General features: G+C 54.6%; 1 long non-coding RNA gene across 1 annotated transcript; it reads left to right on the forward strand.

Annotated features, from left to right (window-relative positions):
- The first annotated feature begins 818 nt into the window (after positions 1-818).
- Positions 819-7,738, forward strand: LOC102724624 (uncharacterized protein ENSP00000382042-like). Its single transcript, NR_164158.1, has 4 exons — positions 819-1,016; positions 4,589-4,682; positions 4,841-5,002; positions 7,459-7,738. It is a non-coding gene; the product is annotated as an uncharacterized protein ENSP00000382042-like (long non-coding RNA).
- The last annotated feature ends 1,057 nt before the right edge of the window (positions 7,739-8,795 follow it).

Here is an 8,795-nt window from a genome sequence, read left to right on the forward strand (position 1 = left end):
GCAGGCTGTGCTGTTATCCCCACCACACAGAGGGAACTGCGGTGCTCTTCTTAGACAAGAAAAGCGCCAGCCAGCGGGTGGTGAGGCAGGATTTGAACTCGAGCACACGGAGCCCATCCAGTCCCGATGGACTGACTCCTCCGTCAGCGGAGGAGGGAGCGAGTCGTTAGGTGAACAGTGAGTGTCTCAGGGTCCCGAGTGTGAGGTGGGGCGTCGGATGTGTCGCGGGGTCCTGCCTGGCCGTGTCCGGGCCGAGGCAGGGGAGGACGATCCGGGGCAGGGCAGCCAGCACTGCTCTCCCTGAGGGCCGGGGCTGTGCGCGCTGCGCGGTCTGTGCGTGGGATACGCCGGGCCCCGCCTCGCCTTCCCGCCCCGTCTCCCAGTCCTCCGCCCTGGCCCTGCCATAGGGAGCCCGGCCCGGGGGTTCTGCGGCTGCCGCAGCCCTGACAGGGGCCGGGGGCGTGGAGGGAGCGGGCCGGCGCTGGCGCAGCCGCAGAACTGTGCAGGAGAGACTGTGACCCCGGTGGCCCTCTCTGAGTCTTGGTTTCTTCCTCCGTGAAATGGGGCTTGAGCAGCGCCTCCTCGACGGGGAAGAGGGCCCGCAGAGACAGCGCGCCAGAGAGTCCAGGGCAGCGCAGGGAAGGAGCCTGTGGATCCCTCCCAGACCCATCCCACCGCCGATCCCGCCCAGGGGCGGCCCAGAGCATTTCCTGAAGGGCCTCAGGAAATACCAGGCCCCCGCCCCCAACCCTCCCGCCACCCCCGCCGCCCCCGCCCGTCCGCCCGCTAGCGTCCAGCTCCCTGGCCGCCCCTCCCCCGCCTCCTTCCGGCCGGCCCCCTGCTCGCATCTTGGCTTGCTGAGGCTGCGGGTCTTGGCCGGGCCTTCGAGAATCCCCCGCCGCCTCCCCTTCTGGATGTATCTGCGCCGCCTCCTTTCTCCCTCCCCTTCCTTCCAGCCCTTCATTCCCTCGGGGCGGGCGGGCAGGCCGGCAGGCCCCGCGCAAACCTGGGGAAAGGTAGGTGGAGGGTGCGGGGTCCGATAACTGGCGGCCACACCCAGTAGGCCAGGCAGCTGCAGGAAAGAGGTTAAAGGAGTTGGAAGAGATTCTGGGAACTCGGGGAAGGAATCAGGGAAAGCTGCCTGGAGGAGGCGACATTTAAGTTTGGACTGGAAGAGCAAGGCGGGTCAGACAATAATTCATGTATTTACCAAGCATTTATCGAGCACTTACTGTGTTCAAGACCCTGGGGTTGGGGCAGGAGGCAAGATAACTGTGTCCTTATGGGTTTTGCAGTAGGGAAAACAGTGAAGGCAACCATCTCACAAACTGCTGGAGTTGAGACCACCAGAGGGGACAATAGAATGTTAGTTCCATTTGATCAATGAGACCAGAGAGGACTGGGGTGAAATTACTTTCCCACAGTCACAAGTAGTAGAACTGGGATTCGAACGTGTGCTACTGTAACATGAGCCCCTAACCACAGGAGTCTCTGTGGCTTTTCAAAGCAGACACGCTGCTGCACACAGGAGCAGCTGCCAGCCTGCCTTGCAGCAGCCATGGCCATGCTGCAGGGCCCACCCGGGGCAGGTGCTGGCAGAGGGGACAGCCAGCCACTGGTGGGAGATCTTGCCCTGGGAGAGGCAGCAGCGGAAATTGCTGTGGGATGGTGGAGGCTGTGGTGGCCATGATGTGGTTGCTTCGGGGCCCCTGTGGTTCCAACCAGGGCACTGTGCCTGCCTTCTGTGGCTTCTTCACCCACAGAGAACCCTCACTGGGGCCATGTCCTGCTTCCTGGAGCTGAGATTGAGTCTGGGAGCCCAGGTGGAACCCTTCTCACTCTCTGGGGACCTCCCACCCTTTATCTCCTGGGAGGCTGGGCTAGCATTCCTGCTTTATAGAAGAGGAAACCAGGGTCAGAGAGGCATGATGGCTCGTCCAGGGCCACACAGCAGAAGGCCCGTGTCTGCTCAATGACTGAAGATACGCGGCTCTTTTCTTGATTCTCCATTCATTCGTTCATTCACTCACTCACTGTAACACACGCACATATCCTCTGGGTACTCACTATTCCATTGCACAGCAACCTGAAGGCTTCCAGCTAAGCTTGAGCACCTGAGGACCAGCGACTCTGCCTGGGGGCTTCATCCAGCAGCTGCAGCCTGCTGGCCCCTGCCCCAGAAGGCCACCGTGGTGCTAGAGTAGGCTGTAAAGTGCTATCCCCCGAGTAGCCTTGATGCACAACTGACCTGGTGAGAGTTAGTGATAAACAGTTCTGCATCATCGCCCAAGGTTCCCCAGCTGTCCATAGTGTTATGTGCTCATTCCCATACCCTTTGTTGGCTCCTTCCCTTCCCTGTATCATTTTCCTGACAACCTGAAGGTGATTCTTGGGATCTCATTCAAGCCAAAAACCTTGCACTGGAATATTTTTCCGGACTGGGCTTCTGAGGGTAGCAAATGAAGACATTCATTTATTCAGTCTTCAAACACGATTGACCTAACCTGAGCCCGCCCCATGCTGGGCTCTGGGGGTGTGGGCATGATTCATAGGCATTTTCTGGCCTCCAGAGCCCCTTGCTTGACGGAAGAGGCAGGAACAGCTTCTGATGATTCTAACCCAGTGTGGTTAATGACGTGACCACATCTCCAGGGAGAATGACCCCTTCTGCCTGGGAGGTCAAGCGGCATCTCCAAAGATGTTCCCTTCCAGCTTGGCTTTGAAGGATGAGGAGGTGTTCCCCATCGGGACCAGGGGGCTGGGGAAATGGCATTCTTGGCAAAGAGAACAGCATGTGCAGACCAGGAGCAGGAGCAAGGAGGGGCTGACAGATGGTGGCACTAGGGACGTTGGCAGGGTCAGACTGTGCCAGCCTTGAAGGCCAGGGGAGACCCTGGGACTGTGGCGTGGTCATGGGAAACCACCACTGACAGTTTTGGAGCAAGGGCAGGATTTGGTTTTAGGAAACGCACTTTCTCTGGAAAGACCTACAGGTTTAACGGTCCTTCCTTCCTCATTGTAACTCCCAGCAAGTCAAGGGAGTCCACCCTGGTGCAGCTGAACAGCAGCATCGCTATACGTGGAGCTCTTATTAACACTTCATTCACTGGGTCTTCACACCCTTGAGTGAAGCATCCTTTTTAGTAACCTCTTTTTATAAGTGGGGAAACTGAGGCACGGTACAGGACTCAATCAAGGTCCCATAGCTAGGAAGCGGGGGCATTGGGATTAGAACCCATGTTTCTTGGCCAGGCATGGTGGCTCACGCCTGTAATCTCAGCACTTTGGGAGGCCGAGGTGAGCGGATCACCTGAAGTCAGGAGTTCGAGACTGGCCTGGCCAAGATGGCAAAACCCTAAACATACAAAAATTAGCCAGGCGTGGTGGCACACGCCTGTAATCCAAGCTACTCGGGAGGCTGAGGCAGGAGAATTGCTTGAACCCAGGAGGTGGAGGTTGCAGTGAGCCGAGATCGTGCCACTGCATCCAGCCTGGGCAACGGAGCAAGACTCCGTCTTAAAAAAAAAAAAAAAAAAAAAAGACTGGGCACGGTGGCTCATGCCTGTAATCCCAGCACTTTGGGAGGCCGAGGTGGGTGGATCATGAGGTCAGGAGATCGAGACCATCCTGGCTAACATGGTGAAACCCTGTCTCTACTAAAAATACAAAAAATTAGCTGAGCTTGGTGGCAGGTGCCTGTAGTCTCAGCTACTCGGGAGGCTGAGGCAGGAGAATGGCGTGAACCCAGGAGGCAGAGCTTGCAGAGAGCCAGGATCACACCACTGCACTCTCGGGACAGAGTGAGACTCTGTCTCAAAACAAAACAAAAACAAAAACCCAAACAACAACAACAACAACAAAAGAAGCTGTGTTTCTTTGGCTTTAAGCCCATCCTCTACGTTGCGCCACTGCCATGCTTTTCAGAGGCTAGAGGGCTCCAGGAACCACCTTCTTTCCCCGGCACAGCCCTGGGGGTGGGTGGGTGGGCAGAGAAGGGACAAGCAGCCCAAGTCACAGCCAGGGATGGAGACAGCATGGCTTCTTTCGGAGAAATGAAGAAGCAGGAGTGTTATTCTTGGCCAGGATGGGAAACGGGTTGGAATCTTGGCTCCTATGCTCACCAGCCATGTGGTCTGTGGCAAGCCACATCCTCTCTCTGTGTCTTGACTTACCCATCTGTAAAATGGTGGCTCCTCATAACCCCCACCTCATAGGGCTGTTGTGAAGATTGAACGTACTGAAGACTCAAATTCTTAGTACACTGCCAGGCACGTAGGAAGAGCTCTTAGAGTGTTATTTTATAGCCCTCATTTGAGAGGGTGTGGGCAGGAGCACAGCCTCTGGGCTCCAATCCACAAACTGCCATCTACTAGTCCATTTGTGAGCTGGCTGGTAAATTCACCTTCCTGGGCCTCAGTTTCTTCATCAGTAAAATGGGATAATGATGGTGCCTTCCTAGTTGGGTTGTGGTGAAGGTTAAATGAGATGCCATGTAGAAGTGCAGAGGAGAAGGGCTGCTATAAGGGGCTCCAGGTGGGTGCTGCTGTTATGATTGGGCACCTACTGCATGCTGTGTCCCTGCATACAGGAGTCGACCTTTGAGACCTGCTTGTTCATGGCTGTTTCACAGATGTCGAAGTGGAGGCTCAGCAGGGTTGGAGGTTCCCGGAGTCTCCCAGCTGGTAAGGGCGGTGTCAGGACTGGAACCCCAGCCAGGCTGACTCAGACATCCCTGGGGCCTGAGCCCAGCAGGGCAGCTGTGACTCAAGTTTGCAGGAAGAGGAGGAGGAGGGTGGGGTAAATGGGTGCTTGACGGAAGCCACAACCTCTATTCCCTCAGAAATGGAAGTGCTTGGTGAGGTTTGGTGTGTCCGAGCCGAAGAGCAGCCAATGACAGGCCTGGGGATCGTCTGGCACAGCCCACTTCTTGACAAGGCCTTGGAAACTTGGTCTCTGCAGCAGCAACCGGATTTCAGCCTGGGCCTCGGACACCTCGGCCTGGGTACGGATGCGACTTGGATGCAGTCCTTCCCTGGCAGTGGAGGGGATGCCCAGGCTGGCACAGGAGTCTCGGGTCTTCTCCGGCTCTACCCCAATCTGCTGTGTGATTTTGGGCCCAGGCAGGGACCCCTCTGGGCTCTGTTACTGGAGAAAAGGCAAATGGCTGGGACGGGTGGGTCCCCAGCCCTCCTTGCCTGGAGGTCTGCGAGTTGGAGGGCTCTGGGGTAAAGCCAGAGCCGGGCCCGGGGAGAGCCTAGGCTCATCTCTGGTGAACAGGGTACCCTCTAGCCAAAGCAGGGGCAAGGCGAGGCACATGCCCCTCATATGGGAGCTGGGGCTGACCCCCTCTCCTAGCCCTGCACACCTTGAGCACATGGCCTTGGCCCATCTGCCCTGTGGGTGGACACTTTCCAGCCCTGGGTCCTGAACTCTACCAATCAGCAGGAACCTAGACTCCTGAGGGGTGCAGCCTGGATGGGAGGTCAGGGAACTGGGTTCCTGAGCGCATCTCTGTGCCATTCATCTCTCCATTGGTTTCCCAAATGTGGACTGAGCACACACTGTGAGTCAGGCCTGAGCTAGGTTCTAGGGATGCTACTGTCAACAAGACAGATGAAGGTTCCTGCCCTCATGGAGGGGAGGGAGACAATAAGCAAAGAAATAAATGCATGATGTAATGTCAGCCAGGGAGCGATGCTGCAAAGCAGGGTGGGCGTGGGGAGTGACGCAGGCCGGGGTTGGGGAGGCATCGTTGTAGTGGTCGGGAAGACTGCTCCGAGAGGCAGACTGAGGGAAGGAGGATGGACATCTAGATGTCTGAGGGAAGGGCCATTTGGGCAGAGGAAAGAGCACAGGGCTCAGTGTGTGTGGGGGGGAGGTTGGAGGGGGCTCCGTGTGTAAGGGTGCGAATGGGGAAGGGAGGCAGGCTGCGAGTGGACAGGGCTATATGTAGACTTCATTCTAACTGTGACGCAAAGGCCTTGCAGGGTTTGGGAGGGGGACATGATCTCATTTGGTCTTCCCAATAACTCCCTGCCAGAAAGAGACAGAGCCCCAAATTGCAGTGAGGAAGCTGAGGCTTAGAGGACATCCCTGCACATGTCTGGGGTGTCATATCATCATCGGAGGAGCTGGGACTCAAACCCAGCTCTGGAACCTGCTCTGTCCCCAGCTCCATGATAACATTGTGTGAGGTGCTGGGTGCAGCTCCCAACTCCTCCCTGCTCAACCATGCTCTGTTAGCCTGTGGTCTACAGAGTGGCTTCCTCCAGGGATGTCTTGATGTCTTGCCTTTTTTTTTTTTTTTTTTTTGAGACAGGGTGTTGCTCCATTGCCCAGGCTGAAGTGCAGTGGTGGGATGATAACTCACTGCAGCCTCAACTTCCTGGGCTTAACAGATCCTCCCACCTCAGCCTCTCAAGTAGCTGAGATTACAGGTGCACACCAATACGCCTGGCTAATTAAAAAACAACAAACAAACAAACAAACAAACAAAAATATGTTTTTTTTGTAGAGATGGGGTCTCACTGGGTTGCCCAGGCTGGTCTGAAACTCTTGCCCTCAAGTGATCCTCCCGTCTCAGACTCTCCAAGTGCTAGGATTGAGCCACCACGCCCATCTGGGATGCCTTGTCTTTTATACCTTTACTCCACAAATATGTGCTTAGGCATTGCTTGCTGTGGCCAGAACCTTGCAGGGGTGAGAGACACAGGTAAATGAGAGCTGGTCCCAGCCCTCCCTCAGAAAGCTGCTGGACCACAGGGTGACAAAACTGAAGCTGTCTGTCACATCCGGGAGCAGGTGCTATGAGGATAAGCAGCCAGAGAAGACCCCTAACTTGATCTGTGGCCATCAAAGAAGGCACCCAAGGCAGGATGCCTCCCTGAATCCTAAAGCCAATTAGCAGTCAGCCAGGACAGCTGCTAGAGGGGGTCTAAGGGGGAGTGGAGAGGATGTTCCAGGCAGAGGGAACAGCAGACAGGAAGGCTCAGAGGTGAGTGTGAGCAGGCAGTCTCAGGGACCCCAGACAGTTGGTGAGGCTGCAGTGCTCAGGGGAGGTGTGCCAACAGGTAAGCTGGCAGGGCCGGGTCCCTGGGGGCTGGCTTGTCCTTTCTGCCATTGTCTGAGAGAGTGGGTGGCTGGTATCTGGTGGCCCAGATGAAGATAATGGAGATGCAATTGTGTTCTTCTTTCTGCTCAGTGCCTCTCAGTTAAGGACATTTGCAAAAATTAATAACAGCATATGCTTTTATGTCCTCCACTTAAATTTCCTTTGGATTAAAGAAAGTAACGGAGGGAAAGGAAGAAAAGCAGGAAGGAGCGAGAGAGGGAGGGGAGAAAGAGACAAAAGAAGGAAAATAATTTGGGGAAAAAAAATTTGTCCTTTTCTGGGCTAAGATAGCCCCAGCCTTTGCATTTTCTCACCCACTGAGTCACCAGCCTCCTGCCCTCTTTCAGGACTGTACATCTTGGCCTCTTACCTACTGTGTCCGCGTCAGCCTCCCTCACAGCCTGATGGCCCCTGCGGCAGCCCCAACCCGGTTTCAGGGGCTAAGAAAACTACAGTTGCATGAACGGGTGGAGGTGAGTGGGAGGCAGAAGCGGCGGGGAGAACCAGTCTGTTCCGAGATCTCTGGACCAACCAGTGGATCCTGATGGTCAGCCTTGTCTAGAGCCCCTTCCAGCGTGCAGGCCAGTCCTCCTGGCATTCTTCTAATTACACCGAGCTGTGAGTTATGTGTGCCAAGTATGTGCTGGATTTTGTACCAAGTGCTTTCCATTCATCAGTTCAGGGTAGTGATGCAGGTAGCTCCAGGCTCAGAGAGGAACAGTGACTTCTCCCAGGTCACACAGCTGGAAAGTGGCTGAGTCTGGATTCAAACCCAGACTTCCTTGTTGCTAGGACCTGTATTTTCAACCACTGCCTATGCCTCTATAACGAGCCAGCTTATGGCTGTGTTCACGCAAAGAGAAAAGCATCCAAATGGGAAGGCTGGAGAATTCAAGCAATTTTCCCGCGTGTCAGACAGTCCTGTTTCCCTCTCCCTTCAAAAAAAGTCCTGGATTATCTCTCTCTCTCTCTCTCTCTTTCTTTTTCCTTTTCCTTTTTGTTTTTTTTCTTTGTTTGTTCTTTCTTTCTTTCTTTTTTTTTTTTTTGAAACAGGGTATTACTCTGTTACTCAGGCTGGAGTGCAGTGGTGTGATCACAGCCCACTGCAGCCTTGATGTACCTGTGTCCCTGGCCTCAGGTGATCCTCCCACCTCAGCCTCCCAAGTAGCTGTGACTATCCCGAGAAGCTGAGACTACAGGTGTGCGCATGCCATCACGCCTCACTAATTATTTTACTTTTTGTAAAGACAGGTTTTTTTCGCCATGTTACTCAGACTGGTCTTGAACTCCTGGGCTTGAGTGATCCATCGGCTCCCAAAGTGTTGGGATTACAGGCATGAGCCACTGCACCTGGCCTGACATCTCAGTCTTGATTTGCACTTTTTGCCCAAAATAATCGAGTGTAAGGCAGGCCAGAAGTGGTCAGGGGGCAGGGACAGTCCCCAGCAGGGTGGCAAGTCTTTCTGCAACATTTTTGGAATACAAGCAGAAAGTGATTTGCTATTCCACACAAAACATGATTGGGAGGGCACTGGATGAATACAACTAAGATCTAAGCATTACTTCAACAAATATATACACAGAGCTAAATCAGTATCAGGAAGTAGTGGAGAAGCACTCAGAATAGGCACAGATCTCCACAGCTGTTAAGAGTCTTGTTACTTTTTTTTTTTTTTTTTGAGAT

This window comes from Homo sapiens, chromosome 17, assembly GCF_000001405.40.
Source record: "Homo sapiens chromosome 17, GRCh38.p14 Primary Assembly".
Lineage (NCBI taxonomy): Eukaryota > Metazoa > Chordata > Mammalia > Primates > Hominidae > Homo > Homo sapiens.